Below are 26,028 nucleotides of genomic sequence, written 5' to 3'. Positions count from 1 at the left end.
TTCACAGACTGCTTTTGTGTTGCTTGTTCTTCTCTGATACAGGGCTGTTCATGCATATTTCTAGTGTATTGCATGCCATTCATTTACATACTGACTTTCTTGTTTTCTTTGTAGCTCATTTCTTGCTAGACTACAAGCTACCTGAAGACAAGTAGTCTTATTGGTCTTTGTAGCACTTAGCATAGTGTCTAGTAAGTAATAGCTGTTCAACATTTTGATTAATTGACAGTATGAGTAATGTTATTTGAGAAGTTCAGAATTTTCTATATTCTTCTTAGAACCTACCTGCATCTCAATAACCCTACTGAGTTGTCTAGTGCCTTGGCTCTGCATTCTGATCCTTTTGAACTTAGTGTGATGAGGCTATAGCCTATTCAGGATCACCCTGGAGTGGAGGATTCCTTGTTGTTGCTTTCTGGCAAGGAAGAAGGAGGGGAGAATGTGCTTACTGTGAACTATTTTGATTGAAGTTGCAGGGGGAGAAGCTGACTCTAGCTGTTTTCCCTAGTCTTGCCTCCTGTGCCTATGTAATTCAGCCTGTGTGCTATGCTTTGAAATGCTTTAAAATAAAATGGGGAAACAAAATGGGTTTTCACAGAAGTGTTAAAAGGATCATTTTGACATGGTGGTTGGAGCTGGGTGTGTGCAGCCTTGAGTATGGCTGATTTCCCAGACGTTTGCTTGAGCTGGAAGCCTGTGGCTCCTGGAGGAGCAGCTGGAAGTGTAAGAGTGTGTTCACAGTGGGCAGGGCTCTTCCTCTGCATTTGTCTGCAGAGCCAGCTGACTCAGGTTTCAATCCGAGACCGTTGAGGTGGAGTGCATGCTGGACTGGGCATTAGAGTGCCTAGAACACTGAATGAGAGGACACCTTTGTTTTCACTGTGAATCTGCCACTAACTACCCATGCCCTTGGGTACCTCACCTCTTTGAGGCTTAGTTTCCTGTCTTATAAAATGAGTTTTGCACCAGGTAATCTTTTGATCATCTATGATTTTCTGGAGATGAATATAGTAAAGAACAAATGGGAGTAGTAAATTAGGGATGATTATTTTGTTAGTGATTGTCTTCCAGGTTTATCAATCTTGCTTCTCTGAGGGCTTGAAACAGATCACCATAAGCAATGGGGAACTGCATGTTGTGAGTTCAGAGCTTCAATGGGTGGGGGCAAGTATGCAACTGGAGACAGGGAAAGATTTCCAGGAGACAAACATGCATTTGAAGGGATGATAGTGGTAAAATGTTTCTGCCCTTCTTGATTTAGAGAAATGATTTTCAAGGCTCCTTGAAATTATTAGGCCATTAAACAGTATTTCTTTCTACTTGCAATAGAGAATAATGTAAGGGATGGAAAGAAAAATTTTTCCTTTTGTGTCCTGGAGAGAGTATTTTTGAGTCTTTTGTCTCAGTGTGGTGGAAAATTAAGGCTTGCTAAAAGATAAAATAAATAAATTTTAATTTTTGCTTAGGTAGTAAGGTTACCATTGAGAGATTAATATATTTTAAATTTATATTCTATAGCCATTTTATAAAAGTAACAAAGGTCTCAGTATAGGAGGAGGCATCATGCCATTGTTTCTGCTTAAAGTTAATAAAAGATGGTGGCTGTTCAAAAAGATTGGAGCCATTTTGATTAATGCTGTGCACATCACCAGGCAAGACTACTCTCTTGATCTTCACTTAATATAGAGAGAATAAATGAGTCGTTGGAGAGAATTCTCTTGGATTTTAAATGTAGGGGCTGATACTTTGCAAATGGGCCAGCACACAAGGAGCAATGTCAAACAGACATTTAAAAGGAAGACGTGATGTTTAGAGAGGAGAAGATTTGCAATAGAGAGCCATCTGGAAGGCCTTGGGGAGTTGATAAAATCAGGATTTAATTGAGACTCAGATTTAGACCCAGTTTATCAAGCTCTAGATCATCTACCCTGAATTTGAAGATATCAATACTATTACATACTAGAAGTTCATCTCTGAGGTTACCGATGTTGTCTTGCAAAAACCAGAACTTAATACCTATATAATTAACATGATTTCTTAAATAGGAAGTATCAGTCTTGGTACCAACCTGATAGCATCATTGTTCCTCTCCAGCATAATGCTTGTTTGTATCCGCATGGCTGTGCTCCTGAGGGCCGTCCTGAACAGTGAGCTGATGGATGAGAACACTTTGGGGGTGAGTACAGGCTTCATCCTGTGCTGGAATCCCTGCTGGAGAAAATTCTCTTTTTATATGACATGATGAATTAAAGGCATGATTAACAATGAGGATGTTTTTATAGAGTCATTGTTAATGGTGAGTGCTGAGAGATGGCAGGCAGAATCCTTTTTCAACATTTGGGTCCTGTTTCCTCACCATTGGTCATTCTAACTCTTGGTAGGCATTTTGCCCGGATGAAGACCATCTGTGCAGCTCCTTTGAGTGACTAATTTTCTTTTTTTACTATTGGTTTTTGATGTTTCCTCCACCTAGTGCACACCAGGCTGTTTTCATCTGATGGAACCAGATCACAAAACTGTTTGGACATCTGTGAAAAACAAACCCAATCTGTATGGTCAAAAGAACATTGAACAGCCATTATTCATGTGAAGTGTTTGATAGAAAGGCATTCTGTGTCTGGTGACTTCCAAACAACGTGTAGTGCCTTTATCGCCTGAGTAGATGGGGCTTGCCTTTAACACATCCTCTTTACTAGTCTCAAAGCACTGAGATAATGACTGAAAGCTGTGTTAGAGACCAAGCCATGCAAGAAAGAAAATGTGTCATATCACATCAACTTAAAACAACTGCAAACCATCAACAGTGTTTCCCCAATCCCTACATTAAAATCTATAATCAAGCAGATAATATGAGCATGTCAATTTCTCCTTTGAGTAATAACTACTAACCTCATGGAAACCAAGCCTCTTCCTTAGGTGAGTTTATCATTAGTCTTTTACTGAAACACTGATTTAAAGTGGGTCAGAAAACTTTCCATTTTTTTTTCAAACAATACATGTAGAATTATACACCTATACGTTAGCAGGCACATGCAAATTTGTTTTATGGTGGACTTCCCTTTGGTAATGCTGACTTCATCTGATACTCTAAGAATTAAGGTCAGCAAGTGACTGAAGTTTCAAGTCTGAACGGATGTCACTGAAAAGTAGGGTCTAAAATTAAACAAGAAAACCAAACCACACATTGTGGTTGGGCTATCAAGTTATCAGCTTTATTTTCTTTTCAGCAATTTCGAAGTTAATATGATTTAGAGACAACCACAGAATATATTTGAAAGGAAGATACAGTATATGAACCTGGAACAAATTGTTAATTGTTTTTTTTAGGCAATATAGAGGTTGCTACGGTGAGGTGGTAGCTTCGTGAATTGGAGATACAAAAAAATCAACACATAATGATGTATTTCTCTATACCAAATGAATGATTCTTTTATTCTGAAATCCTCCAGAGAATTTAAGGTAATTATAGCAAAAATTCAGCAAAGTAAAGTAGAAGTAGAAATATAAATCAAGCTCAGAGGACGTGGAAACAGAGACAAAAGTCAAGGTCTAGGAAAAGAAAACCCAAAGTTATTGTCTGTAAGGGCCAACATATTTACATTTGTCTCCAAGCTTCCTGGCAGCCAAAAAAAAAAAAAGGAGAAATGCTCAATTACCTAAGTCTCATTTTCAGAAGGAAAAAGCTAGCTAATTCCTGAGGTAGATGTTTTTCCTATCATTACATTTTAAGATAAAATCTTTGTCTGAGGCTTATAGATGATCCTATATAGCATATTGGCTAAGGACAATTTTTTTGCTTCAGACATTCCCATGATCACACCCCAGTTCCACCTTAATAGCCGTGTGCCCTTGGGAAAATTACACCATCTACATTTAGGTTTCCGTACCTACAACAGGAAAATAACAATAGAACATGCTTTATAGGTAGTAAATGAAATAATACATGTGGCCTGGCATGTATTAAATGCTCAGTGAATATTGATTCAATGTTAATATTAACAGGAATGTGTGTGTGTGAGAATCTGTCAGAGAAAACTTTTCGAGGAAAGGGAGACATTGGGTCTGAGGGACACTAGTTATCTGCTCATTTGAATATCTACTCTGTGAGGAAGTAGGGAGATATCTTCAGGCTTCCACATGTCCTAGATGAAATAGACATTCATTAAACAAATGTTTCTTGAACACCTATTACGTGCCAGGCACTGTGCTGGACTCAGGATAGAGCAGGGCAAGCAGACAAAGCTCTGCTTTTAAGAAACTGACATTCAGGGTAGTATAGTCCCTTTATTCATATTTTGAGTTTACCAGCCTATTTGCTTATAATGAATTAGGCTTCTCAGGTAGGAAACCTGGAAACCAGGGCCCTGGATAGCAGACACAGGCTTTCTAGTTACTGGAAAGGAATAGTCCTTGCTACAAATTATGAAGTTGCCTTCCTGATTTATATATTACTGCACCAACAATTAAGGAATTTCAAGGTTTACCACAGATTATATTAAACTTAACCAAGAACTGCCATTCTGTGTGTATTTTAGACTCTATCTTTTTTTCTATTTAGCTATCTATTTGCACACATACACACGTATGCAAAAGAAAGCAAGCATAATTAATCCATAATCCTAGTTGCTAGAAATAAGCTTTCAAGGTACACCTTCTGTTATCTTACAAAATTGGGATCATTTTAAGTGTATTGTTCTACTAAATGTATTTTTGTTTTTACAAAATTGGGCCACATTATAATACTGTTTTGTAAACTTTTTTCTCATCTTACAATATATTCTAAACACTTTGCCCTTTTTTTAAAGCTTGTGTATGTGTATGTGTGTGTTTGAAACAGATTGATTACCTAACATCCTGAGAAAGAGATGAGAAATAGGCTGTTTAACTGGTTGCCTATTGTTAAATATTTTGATTGCTCCCAAATTTCTATTTTAATGCTTAAGATAAATGGACAGAGATCTATGAAGCTTGTTAAACCTTCTAAGTAATGATATTACAGAGGCAATAGTCATAAAAAAGATATCAACAAAAATATTTACAAGACAAAGGCTAATGACTTTGCAAAAAAGTGGTTTGCCATATGGTAGGCACCAAAGGTCAATGACATAAATACTATTACAGTATAGTATTTATGTCATTATATGGCAATCAGTATGGCATCAAAGAGCAAGACTTAAAAAAATTATTCATTCTTTTATTTCATTTAATCTCTACAACAATTCCTTAGGATACTATTGTCCAAATATACAGGGAAGAAAACTAAGGTTTGGCAAGTTTCAGTGATTGGCCTGAAGTCATCCAGTAGGCAGGTGGTGGTCCTGTTTTGTCACAGATATTGCTGACTTTCAAGTCTATGGGTTTTTCCACTATGGCACACTAAAAACACTGATATTGAAAGCCAATTAAAAAATTATTTTGCATCTGACTTTCTGATATTTTGAAGTCTCAAAAATTATCAAATTATCTTTGGTTTATCCATTTGGTGGTATCACTTCTTTCATTTACCCTTGTCCATTATCTTTGCTTTAGTGACAACCCCTCTCTGTCTAGTGCTAGATTAGGCTATTCCTATGTCTAGACTATGAGAATCCCAACATTTATTTATTTTTTAATCCCATTGAAGTAGAGATTTCCATAAAAAATAAGGGAGGTGCAAAGAGAGGTGCATATATGTCTATGTTTTACTGAAGATCGAGGTAACAGGATTTGTGCTTAGTTTCCTGGCTGGATTAGAAGATCATTAAACTTTCTTTTCCTTTTTTTTCTTAAAAAGGGGGTTGAAGGAAGCATAATTTACATATGAGAATCACAGAGTAATCTTATATGATGGCTGTGAACAGATTGGTCTTCATTTGTTCTGAATAACTAAGACATTATAGTCATAATGCATTTAGCTATGCATTTAGTTTTTGTAGAAAAACTTTGCAGTAGTCAGCATTTTAAATATTTGACCAGTATTAAGTTGCTCCATGAACCTGATGCCAAGCATAAGAAGATAATAGGGAAAAAATAACTAATTTTGAAAACTCTCTGATGTACATATCATTTAAAAATGTTTGGCTAGAATTCAGTTGTGTGTATGTACCATAATTTATTTCATCTATTAACATATTTTAAATTCACTCTAAATTATTTACTATTAATACAGTGATAAAAATCATACTAGTCAGATTTTTGCTCAAATATATATCATACTACAGGATATATAAGGTTTTTATATTATTGCATATGTTTTGCTAAAGAATCTTGAAGATTATATAGTTCCCTCCTTTGCCTGTAATAGGAAGTCAATAGAGCTAGTTTAAGCACAAATGAGAAACCAATTATAAGCATATAAAGATGCCTCAAAGACATAAAGGCAGGAATTAAAGCAGGGATTCAGGAAAGTACTGGAACAAGAGCTAAAAACTAACAGGTGTCAAGGCAATTACTTTCTTAATCTCTCAAAATCCTTCTTTCCTGAACTGTATCATTTCTCTCTCTCTGCAGATTCCTATCATCTATGTCTTTATGCTTCTGGCTCTCCCAAGTTCACACATTCTCAGGTCCCTTTTGATAGGCATTTCTCAGTTGCAAGCCACATTTTCAGGAGAGTCTGATTGACTCGAGTCATGTGTCTAATCAGCAATGGTTGGACAGGCTCGTGTAGTACACACAGGGATGCTGGGGGGCCTGTTCTCAAAGAAGAGGGGTGTGGGCTGGGCAGACATTCTAAAAGGTGTGCACTCTAAGTTAATTTTCTCCACAACAGAGGAAAAATGTAGTAGATGGCATAGTTTCTTTCCTTCATACCATTGAGTCTTGGCAAAGAATGCCTCCAGCTCTGAGCTCTATTATTTCTCATCAGTCTGAGTGTTGTAATTGCTTCTATTTTATTTATTGCATTATATTTCAATTATTTATACATACATATATAGCTTATATATAAGGTGCAAGTATATGTGTGTTGTATAATCCATATGTGTAATTTTGTGTGTATATCTATATCTATAAATTTTTTGGTCCATCTCCACTTAAATTTATTAAGTTGTAGTTCTTAGTATTGTGCAAAACATAAATGATAGATGTATAGTACATGTCTATTTATTATCTTTTAAAGATGCTCTCCCTGTCTGGAAAGGTTGGATGTAGACATTTTTTCTGTCACCTTTAAAAATAGTTATGTGCTTTATACACGTCTATGTGGATCCTGCTGAACTTATGTGGTTTTTAGATTTTTTTTGGTAAGATATGCTGTATAGAGCATTGCAACCACATGTAGTGAGGTTAACACCTGAAAGTGAGAGATGGGGAGCCAGGGCCCTATCTGGGTTAAACACAACATCTGCTGGAGATGATGAGTTAATAGCCATCAGGGAAGTGGTTGACAGACCACTTGACACAGGTGAGAAACACACTTATCTCCTGCCTTTATGCTTGTTGCTAGAAGAGGCACTTCAGCTGAGTACCTGGTACACAAACAGGAAGGCTCTACAAATGCTTTTGTTTGGGAGCCTGGTTCTTAGCAGAAATGTATTGTCCATTGGTTGTCCTAATTCATCAAACATCCCCACCCATCCATTTATCTATCCTTTCAACCATCCTATCTATCCATCTAATAAACATTTATTGAAGAATTAGTTTTAAAAAGAGCAGCAGGGAATATACAGTTTTACAAGGACCACTGGCTTAGACACACTCAAACTGTTCACACACTAATAGAAAAGCTTTGGAGTTAAACGCACCTGGATTTACTCTGTTGCCTAGTAGCTACATGACCTTGGTACTTAATATTCTCTAAGCCTCAAACCCCTCATCTTTAAAATGGCAATAATAATAATAGCACTTACATCATAAAGTTACTGTAAGGATTAGAGTAGATACTGTGTATAATGCTCTTTGGACAGAATCATAAATATTATGTATTATTATTATTTTATTTTATTTTATTTTTTGAGATGGAGTTTTGCTCTTGTTGCCCAGGCTGGAGTGCAGTGGTGCGATCTCGGCTTACTGCAACCTCCGCCTCCCGGGTTCAAGCGATTTACCTGTCTCAGCCTCCCGAGTAGCTGGGATTACAGGCATTTGCCACCACGCCCGGCTAATTTTTTTGTATTTTTAGTAGAGATGGGGTTTCACTATGTTGGCCAGGCTGGTCTCGAACTCCTGACCTCAGGTGATCCACCCGCCTCAGCCTCCCAAAGTGCTGGGATTACAGGTGTGAGCCACCAGGCCCGGCCTATAGTATTATTTTTAAGCATCATCTACAATAATGAGTTCTGATGAAGCTCAAAATTTTATGCATTGCGGAATATACAGGAAATAAGTTCTACCTGCCCAGGCTGTCACTGTAAGTAGGAGATTGCTTCACATGGGGTGGATTCGTGAAATAACAAGACATTTGAAGAAAGAAAAATCCAGCTCATTAGAATGCCTTGCCTAGTAGTTGACAAATATAACTTAGTTATGTACCATAATATCCAGGTGGGCTGATTTTTCACTTTTCATCTGCAGCATTGGACAGCATGTCTATATGGCTTTAGACTCATGGACTTACAGAATGAAAAATAGAAATTGTCCTGAGAGCGTATCCAGTCAATTTGCTAGGTGTTAGAAACTTGCTAAGCATCTATGCTTTATCTAAACAATTCAGCGAAAGAGATGCTACAATTGCAGTGGAAATTTATCTTCATTTCTAACTGAACTAATTCCAGTTGCAAATCCCATTAATTGTTTTGTTTTATCCTTAAGCAGTATCTTCAAAATCAACTAGGCTCAAAGCTTTTTCATTATCTTTTCCTGTTCCCCTTCTACCTCCCTCTGAGTCTTGTCACCAATTTCAATTTGCTGCAGAGTCCTATTGATTCTCTATAGTTCTGCTATGTAGTTGGAGAAGTTCTTTCTATCCTTGTTCAGACCCCCACTCCCTCATGCTTTTACCTTAGTCACCACATCCTGCTATGGACTTTCTGGTTTCTAGACCCTCGTCCTTGCTGTCCATCTTGCTCCTCAAAACCACATCCATCTTTCTAAGCCATTGCTCTCCTCAAAGGTTTTCCTAAGTAAAATTATTATAGGATAGCTTGGACTTTTCAGTTTTACATCAAGGCCTCCGCATGTGGGGCTGCCCTTCTTGCCTAGCCTCGTCCTTTATAACTCCAGCTCTGCTTCTGTTCAGCTAGTTTTCTGTCTTTCAAAGTGATCCCATTGTTTCTCCATGTCTTTTCTCCTGTAAATTATTTCTTCAGAGAGTAGACAGTCCCTCTCTTTTTGACGGTTGTATGGCTCCATGATTTGAAAACTGCAATGATAAAGGCTTCAACTTTTGTTATTAGTCCATCGTAGGAAAGCAGAGTTGAGAGGATAGATTGATGACATGAGATTTGCAGCTATGAGACATCTGTGCTTACACACAAGCTAGGTACTGTATGGTTTCCTTAGACCAGAACCTGGGAAAGATGGGAGGTTATGAGACAGGGGTTCTTAAAGTAGAGTCCATGGATCTCTAGAAAATCCATGAATGAGATTCCAAATACCTGTGAACCTCCTAAAATCACATGCAAAGATTCATGTGTGTGTGCATTTGTTTTCAGGGGGTGAATCCACAGCTCTCATTAAAAGACAAAGGACATTTGGCAAACAGATTTAATTAGGGATTTGGCCAAAAGAGTGTGGGAAGTTGGGACTGAGCCAGACCAACATGAAACTTGCCACCTCATGCTATACCACAGTGATGGAGTCTTTGCTTAGATGCTGCGCTTGGGGAAATTCAAGGTGAAGAAGCCGTCTCACTAAATGCTGAGCCAAGCACTATCACAGGCCAGGAGAACACACACAAGATGATCCTAGAACCCCTAGAGGGTCAGAGTCCCCCAGGACTTCTTAGGCCCAGATTGGAAAAGGACTTTTGTCACCGAAAGAGGCCAGAGATTAGGGAAATCACAGATTTGGCTGATTCAGAGCACTGATTTTGGGAGTAGGATGCAACTGACTAGTTTGGGGGAAGGGAATGTGGGGCATCCTTGAAAGACTAAAAACTGAATTCCGGAAAGGACTAATCTCCTTTTTAACAAGGCCCCCTAAAATAATTTCAGGCAGGGGTATCCTTGTAGATGAAAAGACGTGCAGGGACCTGTATGTCTTTAGAACATTTTCTTGGTTAAGAAATTTGTGACTAGAGTTTAGCTATCTAAGTTTCATATCTGCCATCTTGTATGTTCAGTTTTTTTGCTTTCATATTTATTTATTGTGATTTTTCCTTTTAATACTTGATAAAGATGATTTGAAGATGTGACTCTGAAGAAGAGGCAACTTAGGAAAGTGGTAGGGTATGGGGGGAGGGTGATAGGGTCTGTCTTAGCTGAATGATGGAAAGCAAGATGGCGCAGCTGGCAGTGAGAAGAACTCCCTTTCTGCAGCTCTGATGATTGATGTTTGCCAGAAAAGTCTTTCACTTACAGCACTCCCACACCCAATATCCATAGCCTACCTACCTGTCTTGTGATCCCATTCAAATCCATGGGGCTATCTCTGCTGACCTTTGACTAATCTTTCACTCTTTCCTCCTGGAGCCGTCTTCTTAGCTAGGGATGAGGTTGAGAAGATTTCATTGAATAATCCCCCACCATACACTCCAGTTGAGGACACATATTGCATGTACCACTTGTTTAAAAAAAGGGGTTTTAACATTTGTTTCTGTCTCTCTCTCTTTGTGAGAGTGTTTATATTTTCCAGTAATATTCTAAGCTCTTTTAGGGTATTTGGAGTCAGATACATGGGTTGTAATCATGGCTCTTCTACAATCTAAGCTGTTTGAAATAAACTATACAAACTTCCTAAGCCATGGTTCTTCATCTTTAGTCAATTAATTGCTAATTGATGAGAATGTGATCAATTCACTGCAGTCAGTTAAAAATGCTGGATACTGAGAATTGAGATTGATTATATTTAAGGGCAGAAAGATATATTTAAAAGCAAAGTAGCTAAAACAATGTATCTTAAATTCCATATGCTAAATATAATAAAAGTACAGCTTTTTAATAAAGAGACACTTCAGAAATAAATGAATTCAAATTTAACTAAGTAGAATTCATTGGTAAATTAGATCCGTATTACAACTATGAGGTACAAAAGGAGAATGTCTAATAGGTTTCAGGCACTCAAATACAAATAAGTGCAAGAGGAGGAAGTTCATTGTACATAGTTTCTTTATTAAGAGATATTATTAAGATTATTAAGGGAAGAAGAATCCATAGTTTATATCAACTGACAGAATGATCTAGTGTTGGTGAGTTAACAAAATAGGTTAATACTATAATTTAAACTGCTGGGTTGCAGCTTACTAATCATTGGATGTTAGTAAAAATAGATGGATTCTTAATAGTTAAGATTATTTTATGACCTATTTCCTTTTCTTCTTTCTTTCTTTCTTTTCTTTCTCTTTCTTTCTTTCCCTTTCTTTCTTTCTTTCTTTCTTTCTTTCTTTCTTTCTTTCTTTCTTTCTTTCTTTCTTTCTTTCTTTCTTTCTTTCTTTCTTTCTTTCTTTCTTTCTTTTTGACAGAGTCTAGCTCTGTCACCCAGGCTGGAGTGCAGTGGCAAGATCTTGGCTCACTGCAACCTCCACCCCCTGGGTTCAAATGATTCTCATGCCTCAGCCTCCCTAGAAGCTGGGACTACAGGTGTACGCCACCATGCCCAACTGATTTATATGTATATATATTTTTTTTTTAGTAGAGACAGCATTTCACCGTGTTGGCCAGGCTGGTCTTAAACTCCTGTCTTCAAGTGATCCGGCCGCCTTGGCCTCCCAAAGTGCTAAGGTTGCAGGGGTGAGCCACTGTGCCTGGCCCTTATGACCTATTTTCTAAGGAAATAAAGTTTCAAGTTTACTAACAGAAACTATGCAAATGAAAAGAGATCATAGCTTACTGATGAGAAATCGACAAGATGAGAGAAGTAAAAGGGTTGTATTTTCCCTACGAAAAGATTTTCTGATTGAAGTTAATAATCTGACAATACAATCCCTAGAAGAAATAAAAAAAATTGATGAAAGGTTAGCAGATGGCATAGAAATGTGGTCTTAGAAGTATAAGTAAAATAGCATGTAATGAGAAATATATATTGAATAAAAATATAATGACTTTGATTTGATATCTCAAACAACATGGCAATTAAAAAGACAGCCCAAAAATGTATCAAAGCTAAATATTGGAAATATAAGAAGGAATGAAATTGTAACTGAAATGAAATCTGCACTGTTACGGTAATAAATATTTTATAATTTTTTATCTTTCTTAAAAAGCTATTTCTTTAAGGTGAATTAATACAAATGGAAAGGAAAAATGGTCAGAAAATACAAAATTTTTTTCAAAATTTTAAGGATCTTTTGAAAATGGGTATAATTGTGAGCTTTGTTCTTCAGATGTCTCTGATGTAGGAGTTTGCAGAATACCAGCATCTTGGCACAACTGAGGAGGAAATAATCCTCTTTCTTGCATGCGACGCTTTAAGAGGCCTCAGATGCCCTTGGATACCTTTCAGGTATCTGAGCCCCAGGCTAACGGGCCCCAGAGGCTGTGGTTTACATGGCACATTCCTGGTCATTAGAAATAGTACATGCTTCCATAATAAAAACTATCTCCTGAGACTGTGGGAACCCTCTTAGAAAGCTACACTCCAGCATTCTTAATCTCATGTAGCTGCAGATGAGTGAAGAGTTTGTTGTGGACCTGCTTGATTAGGTAAGTGGATCTTAGATCTGATGCTGTGATATGGTTTGGCTGTGTCCCACCTAAATCTCAACTTGAATTGTATCTCCCAGAATTCCCATGTGTTGTGGGAGGGACCCAGGGGGAGGTAATTGAATCATGGGGGCCCGTTTTTCCCATGTTATTCTTGTGATAGTGAATAAGTCTCATGAGATCTGATGGGTTTATCAGGGGTTTCTGCATTTGCCTCTTCATTTTTCCCTTGCCGCTGCCATGTAAGAAGTGCCTTTTGCCTCCTACCATGACTCTGAGGCCTCCCCAGCCATGTGGAACTGTAAGTCCAATTAAACCTCTTTTTGTTCCCAGATTTGAGTATGTCTTTATCAGCAACATAAGAACGAACTAATACAGTAAATTCGTACCAGTAGTAGAGTGGGGCATTGCTGAAAAGATACCCGAAAATGCGGAAGCGACTCTGGAACTGGGTAGCAGGCAGAAGTTGAAACAGTTTGGGAGAGCTCAGAAGAAGACAGAAAAATGTGGGAAAGTTTGGAACCTCCTAGAGACTTGTTGAATGGCTTTGACAAAAATGCTGAGAGTGATATGAACAACAAGGTCCAGGCTGAGGTGGTCTCAGATGGAGGTGAGGAACTTGTTGGGAACTGGAGTAAAGGTGACTCTTGTTATGTTTTAGCAAAGAGACTGGCGGCATTTTGCCCCTGCCCTAGAGATTTGTGGAACTTTGAACTTGAGAGAGATGATTTAGGGTTTCTGGTGGAAGAAATTTCTCAGCAGCCAAGCATTCAAGAGGTGACTTGGGTGCTGTTTAGAGCATTCGGTTTTAAAAGGAAAACAGAGCATAAAAGCTCAGAAAATTTGCAGCCTGACAATGCAGTAGAAAAGAAATACCCATTTTTTTTTAGGAGAAATTCAAGCCAGCTGCAGAAATTTGCATAAGTAGCAAATAGCCTAATGTTAATCCCTGAGACCACAGGGAAAATGTCTCCAGGCCATGTCAGAGACCTTCATGGAAGCCTCTCCCATCACAGGCTTGGAACCCAGGAGGAAAAAGTGGTTTCATTGGCGGGGCCCAGGGTCCCCGTGCTGTGTGCAGCCTAGGGGCTTGGTGACCTGTGTCCCAGCTGCTCTAGCCTAGGTTGAAAGGGTCCAAGGTACTTCAGAGGGTAGAAGCCCCAAGGCTTGAAGCTTCCACATGATGTTGAGCCTGTGGGTGCACGGAAGTCAAGAACAGAGGTTTGGGAACCTCTGCCTAGATTTCAGATGTATGGAAATGCCTGGATGCCCAGGAAAAAATTTGCTGCAGGGTTGGGGCCCTCATGGAGAACCTCTGCTGGGGCAGTGGAGAAGGGAAACATGGGGTTGGAGCCCTCATGCAGAGTCTCTACTGGGGCACTGCCTAGTGCAGCTGTGAGAAGAGGGCCACCGTCCTCCAGACCCCAGAGTGGTAGATCCACTGGCAGCTTGCACCTTGCACTTGGAAAAGCCACAGATACTCAACCCTAGCCAGTGAAAGCAGCAAGGAGGGAAGCTGTACCCTGCAAAGCCACAGGGGTGGAGCTGCCCAAGACTATGGGAACCCACCTTTTGCATCAGTGTGACTTGGATGTGAGACCTGGAGTCAAAGGAGATCATTTTGGAGCTTTAAAATTTGACTGCAGCACTGGATTTTGGACTTGCATGGGCCCTGTAACCCCTTTGCTTTGGCTAATTTCTCCCATTCGGAATGGCTGTATTTACCCAATACCTGTAACACCATTGTATCTAGGAAGTAACTAGCTTGCTTTTGATTTTACAGGCTCATAGGCAGAAGGGACTTGCCTTGTCTCAGATGAGACTTTGGACTGTGGACTTTGGATTAATGCTGAAATGAGTTAAGACCGGGGGACTGTTGAGAAGGCGTGATTGGTTTTGAAATGTGAGGATGTGAGATTTGGAGTGGCCAGGGGTGAAATGATATGGTTTGGCTGTGTCCCCACCCAAATCTCAGCTTGAATTGTATCTCCCAGAATTCCCATGTGTTATAGGAGGGACCAAGGTGGACGTAATTGAATCATGGGGGCTGATCTTGTGATAGTGAATAAGTCTCACAAGGTCTGATGGGTTTATCAGGGATTTATGCTTTTGCTTCTTCCTCATTTTTTTCTTGCTGCCACCATGTAAGAAGTGCCTTTCACCTCCCACCATGATTCTGAGGCTTCCCCAGCCGTGTGGAACTGTAAATCCAATTAAACCTCTTTTTGTTCCCAGTTTCGGGTATGTCTTTAACAGCAGCATGAAAATGAACTAATGCATGCTGTAACAGAGACTGAAGTGAGGTGGGGTTTGAGGAAAACTGAAGCAGTTCGTTTTTCTTTAATGAGATTCACTCCATATTTGGGTGAGGTGAGACCCATCCAAGGGTCTCTGGGACTAGAGACTAGAGACTGATTAAGATGATGCAGGGGAGGGAAAACTTTTTGGTGCCCACAGGGAAACGGAACAGAAGGTTTTTGCTTTTGTTTTTAATAATTTCAATTTTTATTTTAGATTCAGTGATACACCTGCAGGTTTGTTACCTGGCTGTATTGTGTGATGCTGAGGTTTGGGGTGTGATTGATCTTTTCACCCAAGTACTGAGCATAGGACCCAATAGTTAGTTTTTCAACCCTTGCTCCACTCCCTTCCTCCTCCCTCTAGCAGTCTTCAGTGTCTGTTGTTCCCATCTTTACGTCCATGTGTGTTCAATGTTTAACTCCCACTTATAAGTGAGAAAATGTAGTATTTGATTTTTTATTCCTGTGTTAATTCACTTAGGATGATGGCCTCCAGCTGCATCCATGTTGCTGCAAATGACATAATTTTGTTCTTTTTCATGGCTGCGTAGTATTCCATAGTGTATATGTACCACATTTTCTTTATCCAATCCACTGTTGATGGGCACCTAGGTTGATTCTATGTCTTTGCTATTGTGAATAGTGCTGCAATAAACATATGAGTACATGTACCTTTTTGGTAGAATGATGTATTTTCCTTCGGGTATATACCTAGTAATGGGATTGCTGGGTTGAATGGTAGTTCTGTTTTAAGTTATTTGAAAAATCTCAAAACTGCTTTCCACAGTGGCTGAACTAATTTACATTCCCACCAACAATGTATAAGCATTTTCTTTTCTCTGAAGCCTTGCCAGCATCTGTTGTTTTTGACTTTTTAATATTAATAATAGCCATTCTGACTGTTGTAAGGTGGTATCTCATTGTGGTTTTGATTTGCATTTCTCTGATGATTAGTGATGCTGAGATTTTTTTCATATGTTTATTGGCCATTTGTATGTTTTATTTTGAGAAATGTCTGTTCATGTCTTTTGCCCACCTCTTAATGGGGTTATTTGCTTTTTGCTTATTGATTTAAGTTTCTTACAGAATCTGGATATTGGAACTTGGTCAGATGCATAGTTTACAATACTTTCTCCTGTTCTAAGTTGTCTCTTTCCTCTGTTGATAGTTTTCTTTTGCTATGCAGAAACCCTTCTGTTTGATTAGATCCCACTTGTTAATCCTTGTTTTTGTTTCAACACTTTTGAGGACTTAGTCATAAGTTATTTCCCAAGGTTGATGTTTAGAATGGTATTTCCTAGGTTTTCTTCTAGGATTCTTATAGTTTAAGGTCTCAAATTTAAATCTTTAATCCATCTTGAGTTAATTTTTGTATATGGTGAAAGATAGGGGTTCAGTATTATTATTCTACATATGGCTAGCCAGTTACACCACCACGATTTATTGAATAGGAAGTCCTTTTCCCATTCTTATTTTTGTCAACTTTGTTGAAGATCAGATGGCTGTAGGTGTGCAGCTTTATTTCTGGGTTCTCTGTTCTGAAATAGAAGGTTTAAAACTTCAGCTGCCAAAGTCCAGGCTGTATTTGCACTTAGGAGGGGCTAGGTCCACAGTATCTTCAAAACATAGTCAGATTGTCATATTTTTCTCACCAGGCAGTCCTATAGTGCTAGAAAGGACATTGTCCAAGGTACATTTCTTTGCCTACAGACAAGCTTTGCCATTTCCTGAAACTGTCTTTTTATTAATATGAAAGTACAGCCTGGGCAACATGGTGAGACCCTGCCTCTACAAAGAAAAAACAAAAAACAAAAAAACTCCCCAAATTAGCTAGACATGGTGGTGTGCACCTGTAGTCTCAACTACTCCGGAGGCTGAGGTGGGAGGCTCACTTGAGCCTGGAAGACAGAGGTTGCAGTGAGCTGAGACAGTGTCACTGCACTCTGGCCTGGGCAACCGAGAGAGACCCTGTCTAAAAAAAAAAAAAAAAAAAAGGAAAGAAAGAAAAATTAGAGTGATGTGAAATTGTGCACATGGTGGTGTGGGTTACTTGATAAGTCTTTCTTGTGACTCTAAGAGCACCCAGAAATTGAGGAGAGGAAGCAGTGGGGAAAGGGTAGAATGACAAAAGGGTGTAGAACGGAGTGTCAAAAGGACAAAGGAGAGAAATCTTCCTCCTTTATCGTGTGTTCAGAGAACAGTCTTTGCTATTCTTAAATCCTGGGCTTGTAGCCTTGACTAGAGACCCCAGGATCTGAAGCTACTCTTCCAAATTCAGCTCCAGTTGCAGTCCTGGACATCTGCAGTCACATGCCCATGCTTATTGCCATTGGCTCGGAGTAACACGAAAGCAAGCAACGCTTCTATGCACATTTTGAAAAAGTGGAACCTGTAGAAAAATATTCATATAATAGTAAAATCCACCTATAACTTATCACCTCAAGATAAATGCTACTAATTTTCTGGTGTATTTCCCTCTTTTTATGTCTAATTGTCTTAAGTGGTTGAGATAGTCTGGATATGCAATTTTATGCCTGACATTTTTAAAATTTTAAATTATGGGATATATATTTCCATATACTGTTAAAAATCTTTGTAAAAATCTTTAATGGATACCTAAAATAACTTTGTGTGTCTGCACCATAACTTGTTTAACATTTTCATATTATTGAGTAATTAGACTATTTCTAGTATTCTACTATGATACTGTAATAAACATCTCTGTGCATAAATCTTTGTCTCCACTTTGGATTATTTTCTTAGGACCCTAGTCTGGCCAATATGGTGAAACCTCGTCTCTACTAAAAATACAAAAATTAGCCAGGCATGGTGGCAGGTGCCTGTAGTCCCAGCTACTCGGGAGGCTGAGGCAGGAGAATTGCTTGAATCTGGGAGGTGGAGGTTGCAGTGACCCAAGATGCGCCACTGCACTCCAGCCTGGGCAACAGTGAGATTTCTGTCTCAAAACAACAAACAAACAGACAAACAAACAAAATCCCTAAAAGTGAAATGTATAGGGTATGAACATTTTTGGGAGCTGTGTTACATATTGTCACATTGCTTTCTGAACACCTGGTTTCTAATTTATACTCCTACTAGCTGACAAAGACAGCACAGTTTCTAGTATACGTATTATTTAATTATTGAAGGAAAGGAATGATAACTATCTGTTTCATTGAACCCTTCCTGGCATTGTTATTATTAAAATCAATCTAAATGAAGCTGGGCACAGTGGCTTATGCCTATAATCCCAGTGCTTTGGGAAGCTGAGCTGGGAGGTTTGCTTGAGGTCAGGAGTTCAAGACCAGCATGGGCAATATAGAGAGACCCCATTTCTACAAAAAAATAAAAAATTTAGCTGGGTGTGGTGGTGTGCACCTGTAGTCTAGCTACTCAGGGGGCTGAGGCGGAAGGATCCCTTGAACCCAGGGGTGAGTTTTGATCACACCACTGCACTCCAGCCTGGATGACAGAGCAAGACTTTGTCTCTAAAATATAAAAAATAAAAATAGAATTATAAAAGCCAATTGAAATTAGAAAAAAACAACATTGACATCAATAAAGGCAAAAATCTCATTAATTGATACACAGCGAATTGTGTTTAGCTGTTTAATTTGCAGTTCTTTGGAGGCTGGTTAGTTGGGCAATTTTTCTTGTTTATTAGCTCTTGGTTATTCCTCTTCTGTGAATTATCAGCAATTTTTCTGGGTCTGGAAACGTATGGAAGGAATTGCTTCTCTGCTGACACCTGGGACTACCTGGAGGGAGGCTAACATTTGTAAGGGGAGGACCCTGTACTTGGGAGACTGGCTCAGGTCCCCAGTAGAATCTTCTATTAGCTGTGACTAAAGAAAGTCTCTAAAATGGGCTTAACTATGAATGGATATCTGAGAATCTCCAAACTCCATTGGAATCTCCAGTGATAATTAACAAACCTTTGGGAAGTAGTGTTACTACTTGCCAGGCATTTTCTAACTGACCCATTGGTGTTCTGTATTGACCCACTAACTTTTTCCAACTACCTTGGAGGTAGATACTATTAGTATCATCCCTATATTTCAGGTGAGAAGAACAAAGAGTAGAATGCCTAAAACAGTGTGGCCAAAATCTCATCACTAGCAGGCTGCACATTTGGACTTTGAACCCAACCATCTGCACGTGGATTCCAATTTCTTCACTACTCAACCACATTGGCTTACCATGCATGTCAGAAACACTATCCAGACAGCATGGGTGACCCTATTCTAAGCTCTCTTCACACTCGGTGTTTCTTCTTCCTACTTTGTACCACACTAAGTAATTATCTGTCCAGCCCTTTCTTACATGTCTCTTCTCCTGCTGGAATTTAGGCTCCCTGAAGGTAGGCAATATTTCAATCTTGCTCCCATGCTCTCCCCAGCATCAATCTTGTGCCTTGTGAACAGTGTATGCACACTATTTGCTCAGTGGTTGAAGAAGTGCTCTTGAGATTAGTGTCATCTTTTCAGTGGGTATTGGCTGGAGGCCAGGTCCATATCTGTGCTTGGTCAGATAATGGGATGTGGGTGGGGAGGGTGTGTGTGAACAACCAAGTGGATCGGCTGTAGATGATGAGTTAGTGTGCAGAACTTGTCTCTCCCAGAGAGTGAAGGCTCTGTGCTGGTCCTCCCACAGTCTGTCCACCCTCTTCCTCCTTGTCACAAAGGGCAAAGCCTTGATTTTGTCTTGCTGAATCTGTGAGCATGGACTGACTTTTCAATAACCTGGAAGAGAATGGACCCTGGTAGCTTGGTTTAATCATGAAACTTACAATATCAATGCATCTTAGGAAGTATCTTAGCCCACCCTGGGTGAGGAAGCAGGTGTAAGGAAATTAAACAACTTAGTCAAGGCTAAGTTAGTTTATGACCGGGTGAGCTTCCTGCTATCCTACTCCCTAGCCAGTTATCTTTTATCTGCTGCACATGGATTTCACCTTTGAGCTAAGAAATCTTGAGCCAATTTTTGTGTCTTGTTCTAGTTCAAGCTCAAGCAACTTATGTATTCAAAGCACAAAGGCATAGCACCAAGGAGTGTATGTGAGGGGCCAAATCTTCTGTTTCAGGCTCTTTCCTGATAAGGTGACTCTCTGAATGTAGTTCCTTTAGAACAGCACTAAGTAATAGAGATATAATGAGAGACATATATATTATTTCAAATTTTTAAAAAAGTGAAAAGAAACAGGTGAAATTAATTTTAACAATATATCTTATTTAACCAAATTTATCTAAAATGCTATCATTTCGGCATACAATAACATAAAAATCATTCATAAGACAGTAGAAAAGACAACATATGCCAACACATGCATTAAACATGAATTATGTGATGCAATGGTGATGCAATCCCTGGATCATTCTCAGACCTGGGGACTTCAGAGAGAGAACACTGGTTCTTGGGTGCTGTTTGATAGAACTAAAGATCTGTTTATTAGTTGGTCCTTATGCGACAGGTGTCCTGCCCTGTATCTGCAGGGAATGAATGTCCTACAGAGACAGAAAAGAATATGAACAAACAGGCCTTGTTGAGCTCCCCTTGTTTATTACCATTACATCCTACTCCTTTTTGTCCAATCACATTTCTCCACAACCATCCAGTTCTTTCATCAGACTTAACATAAACATCCACAATTTTCCCTGGGTCTTTGGGTCTTCATTTCTTAAGACTCATGTAAAACTTTGTTAAATTTGTTATACATTTCTTTTTTTAATGTGTCTTTTTTTATAGGGATGTCAGCCATGACCCTTGTGGGACTGAGAAAAGAATATTACTTTTTCTCCCCTACGGAGTTATAGTGAGGAAAGGAAATTGACTCTTTAAGAGGGCTTTACAAAGGTTGTAAAGGGTGCTTTTATTTTAAAGGAGGAAGCATTAGTCAAGTCATACCTGAGCTGTCTTTCCTATTATCAACTGCTGTCATCTGGTGGCAAATTTGAGGAATGGCAGAAATCTTCTGCATTGAACAGTAATGTTCTCTTGATATTTGGCAAAATGGATTCCGACTGTGTTTGCCTCTAGCATATGATCAAATTAAGATTCATATGATTAAGTTTCTTGACAGAACTAGGATTTATAATAAACTAATGCCTTAGGTCATCTTTCTTCAGGTAATAACAATAATAACCAATATTTATTGAAACTGTACTAAAGCCCAGGATCTGTTGTAAGTGCTTCACATGGATTATCTTATTTAGTATTTATGAAACTTCTATGAAGTGGATATCATTATTATCTTCTTTTTATACCATTGAGGCATTGACAGGTTGAGTAACTTGCACAGATCACACCACTGATAAATGGTAGAGTCAGAATTGTAACTCCAAGAGATCTGATTCCTGTGCCTGTGCTCTTAACCACTGCTTTACAATGAACAACTAAGCTAAGATGGCCAACAAGGAGAATAAACTAGAAGTGGGAGATTTGGTTTTGAGTTTTAGCTCTAATGCTACCTAGTTAATAATACTTTCTTGTTTCAAGAGAGACTTACGTTAGTCTGGCCTTGGTCATATTCCCCTTCTCTGGGTCCCATTTTCTCTTATATAAAATGATGGGATTGGACAGGATCATTGTTCTTAAAGCCTGGCCTTATGATGAGCTAGAGGTTCAACATACATGAGAGAAGGATGAGAAGGAAGTAGGTGTTTGGCTGGTGCAGTTGAAAATCCAATCAATACAACCTCCTTCACTTCTTTTGCATGACAGTCTTCTAACTAAGGTTTTGGTTCCACAAACATTGTAATGGCTGAAAGAGAATCTAGAAACAATAGGGCCAAACTCTTTGTGGGACTGTCAGAAACACCAGGTGGACAGAATATGCTTAAGCAACAGTAGGTGGAGAGAGTCACTAAGACAGTGTTCCACTGATATTCAGGAGAGAAGCAGTACAAACTCCATTTTATTTAAATGCCTCCAGCCTTACAGTTTGAAATACAGTTGTTTCTATGGCATATTCATAATATGCATTTATAATTTGCTTAAAATATTGTGAAGACCTTTGTCTATGGAAAGTACCTAAAAGGAAAGTGGATTAGTCAATTTTCACACTGCTATAAAGAACTACCTGAGACTGAGTAATTTATAAAGAAAAGAGGTTTGATTGACTCATAGTTCCTCAAGGTTAGGGAGACCTCAGGAAACTCAGAGTCACAGCAGAAGGGTAAGGGGGAAGTAAGGCATGTCTTACGTGGCAGCAGGAGAGAAAGAGAGAATGAAGGGGGAAGTGCTACACCTTTAAACCATCGGATCTCTTGAGAACTCACTATCACAAGAACAGCATGGGGGAAACTGCCCTCATAATCCAATCACCTCCCACCAGATCCCTCCCTCAACATGCAGGGATTACAATTCGAGATCAGATTTGGGTGGGGACGCAGAGCTAAACCATATCATTCTGCCCCAGCCCCTCCCTAATCTCATGTCTTTCTCACATTTCAAAATCAATCTTGCCTTCCCAATAGTTGCCCAAAATCTTAACTAATTCCAGCATTAACCTAAAAGTCCGAGTCCAAAGTCTCATTTGAGACAAGGGAAGTCCCTTCCACCTATGAGTCTGTAAAATCAAAAGCAAGTTAGTTACTTCCAAGGTGTTATAAAATGGGGTTATAGGCATTGGCTAAATGCTCCCATCCCAAATGGGAAAAATTGGCCAAAACAAAGGGGCTACAGGCCCTATGCAAGTCCAAAAGCCATCAGGGCAGTCATTAAATCTTAAAGCTCCAAAATAATCTCCTTTGACTCCAAGTCTCACATCCAGGTCACACTGATCCAAGGGGTGGGCTCCCGAGGCCTTGGGCAGTTTCACCCCTATGGCTTTGCAGGGTACAGGCTCCGTGGCTAATTTCCCAGGCTGGCATTGAGTGTCTGCAGCTTTTCCAGGTGCATGGTGCAAGCTGTCAGTGGATCTACCATTCTGGCATCCAGAGGACAGTTACCCTCTTCTCACAGCTCCACTAGGCAGTGCCCCAGTGGGGACTCTGTGTGGGGGATCCAATCCCACATTTCCCCTCTTCATTGCCCTAGTAGAGGCTCTCCATGAGGGCTTTGCCCCTGTAGCAGACTTCTGCCTGGACATCCAGGCGTTTCCATACATCCTCTGATGTTTTTAAACTTACCCAAATGATATTGCTATAAGGGCAATCCAAGTTGCTCCATGAACACCTTGACCATTGTTTCTGACCCCATGGTGTGTATGCTGTGCATTTCAGCCAGCCCCTCTTTCAGGGATGGATTTCAGTTTGCTGCCAACTCCCCCTCTGCTTCTACTACAAATAAATATCCTTGTACATGCCACTTATGGTCTCGATAGGAACTTACTTAAGCTATATACATGGGAGTAGAAATTCTGAGTCACAAAGTCTGGTCATATCTACTCTAGGGAGATGTGTCAGAGCTCTCTTCGGTCTTTCTTCCCTCCAGAAGTACGTGATAGTTCTTATAGCCAGCTCTAGATGTTATGCAAATCTACTAGTCAAGTTATATCTCACTGTTGTTTTCATCAGTATTTCTCTGATTATAACTAACTTTGAACATTTCTTTTTAGGCTTGTTAGCTTTTTGGATTTCTTCATTTTATTGGTGGGATTTACTTGTATATTATAAATATTAGTTGTTTAGACTTACAGTACCTGTTTTATACTTTGAAAAGATCTCTGAATCAATAGTCTATTTGTTGGTGTTTGCATGGGTATTCCTTATTGAACAGAAATTCATAATTTTGATATAATAAAACTCATCCGTATTTTTGTTTCATGGTTGGAGATTTTAAAAAGTGCTTCTTCACTAGGCATCAAGGGTGTCCTTTTACATTTTCTTCTATTAACTTTAAAGCTTTACTTTTCACATTTAACTGTACTCCACCTGGAGTTTACCTTTGTATGTGATGTTAGATGGAAATCTGGTTTCATTGCTTTCCATAAAATGAGCCAATTTTCTCTACACCATCTTCATAATACTGCATTTTTTTCTGCATTGATTTATGGGACTATTAAAAAATCTTATGTTAAGTTTTTCTGTGTATATGGAACTGTCCCTAGTCTGTCTAATATTTTTCATTATTGTTCTGTTTTGTATTAATACTGCACTAAACTATGGTTTTATTGTAGGTTTTAGTATCTATTAGGGCAAGATACCTATCTTGTTTTATAGGTTGACTTAACCAGCTTTTGACATTTATTATTTCATTAATTTCTGACTAAATGTAATTGGTCTGTTAAAAAAAGTAACTCAAATATAATTTCATTTGGGATTACATTAAATATACAGGTTAATGGGAAGAATTGTCTGCTATATGATATCAACCATCCAGTCCAAAGAATGCCTCTCCATGTATTCAGATCATTCTCTGTGTCCCTTATTGGGTTTAAAAGTTTTCTTTAAAGAGAACTTCTCAATTAAAATACTGCATAGTTTTGGTACAACTCCAAATGGTATCTAATTTTCAAAACGTATTTTGCAGTTGGTTATTGCTGATGTTAAAGAAATGCTATTGCTTTTTTTAATGCCCAATCTTGTATCCATCCACTGTGCTGAATTCTCTTTTTGATTTTTTTATTTTCTAATAGATTATCTGTTGATTCTGTTGGTATTTATTTGTGGGATAATCATACCATCTACAAACAATGGTAGTTTTATATCTTCCTTTCCAATGTTTAAACCTCTTTTCTCCTTTTCTCCCCTACCCAATACTGTTTGAGACTTCTAATTCCATGTTTGAAACAGTAGTGGGTGTGTGTGTGTTGGGGGGGATTATTTACGTTGTTCCTGATCTTAAAGAAAATGCATCAAAGTTTCTCTATGAAGTGTTGTTTGCTCCTAATTTCTGGTGTATAACTTTTACCAACTTGAAATATCAACTTAGTTTGTTAAGAGTTGTTTTAAAAGTTATAAATAGTTGATGAAATTTATCAGATGCCTTTTCTGCACCTATTGAAATAATGAGATGATTTTGCTCTTTTAATCTATTGGTGTGGTAGATTAACAGATTTTAAAAATGAACTATTGTATTTCTTGAGGGAGGAAGTCTTCTTGATCATGATATGTTATTATCTATTACTCTTTGGATTTGATCAGCAAGTATTCTACCCAGGGTGATCACATTCATATTCAAAACTACGAATGAGAGAAAAATCTTCTTGTTTGTATAGTTTGTAAATGGTTTCAGAATGAAGATTACACTAGTCTCCTAAAATGGATTGGGTAGCGTTTTCTCTTTTTCTATTTTCTGGACAATCTTTAAAGTGAGTATTAACTCTGTTTTGGTAGCTTTCACCTGTAGAGGGCTCTTGGTAGTTTTAGATTACCATTTATGTTCATTCAATATTCTTGTTTTATTATTATATTTATAACAAATACATTTATAAGAAAAACATATTAATAAGAAGAATATGGTCCTTGGAAATTTTTATGATCATTTGGCCTGCTGGCTACTAGTGCATTCTCTTGTTTCTTTTCTTGGCCATCCATTGAGGCATTTTTTTGGGGTACATTTAGCACCATTTTGTAATTTTTTTAAAAATAAAAACAACCCTAAGAAGTAGTCCCTTTTTGATAAACCTTTGAAGTAAATAATTTCACTGATGACAACACATGTTTTAGTAGCACTGATATGTTAGTATGAGGTGAATGGTGAGTTTTGTCACTTGGATTCCAGTGAGGGAACTGACCCATGAGACAAAAGCTCAAACTCTGATGGGCCCTGACTCTTTGAAGAAGTGTTTTTCAGCATGTCTCTATCTAACAACCAACCAAATATAGATGATTCAGTAAGCAATATCATAAAGACTGAAATGGTAAGCTACTTAGTTGGTTGAACATTTTTGTATTTCCTCCTTGCCTTGGCTGCCAGGAAGCTCATGGCTAGGTTTAATGCCTGACAGCAGTGACCATCTTTTCCCAAGTTCTGGGTTCTTCTCTCATGTACTTATTTCAGACCATACTCTGACTCTCTGTTATTAAGAGCTCTAAAATCTTTGAGACTATCTAAATCTCAAGTAC

General features: G+C 38.6%; 2 annotated features.

Annotated features, from left to right (window-relative positions):
* Positions 19,455-19,655: a silencer, noted in NCBI's record as "peak5855 fragment used in MPRA reporter construct". NCBI's record gives its function as "represses an SCP1 promoter by STARR-seq MPRAs in K562 erythroleukemia cells {active_cell/tissue: K562}" and the evidence as "EXISTENCE:reporter gene assay evidence [ECO:0000049][PMID:32103011]".
* Positions 20,880-20,969: a silencer, noted in NCBI's record as "silent region_17278". NCBI's record gives its function as "represses an Ori minimal core promoter by ATAC-STARR-seq in GM12878 lymphoblastoid cells {active_cell/tissue: GM12878}" and the evidence as "EXISTENCE:reporter gene assay evidence [ECO:0000049][PMID:35858748]".

This window comes from Homo sapiens, chromosome 6 (genome assembly GCF_000001405.40).
Source record: "Homo sapiens chromosome 6, GRCh38.p14 Primary Assembly".
Lineage (NCBI taxonomy): Eukaryota > Metazoa > Chordata > Mammalia > Primates > Hominidae > Homo > Homo sapiens.
Note: the sequence above shows the minus strand (reverse complement) of the source record. Positions and strands in the feature narration are given on the sequence as shown.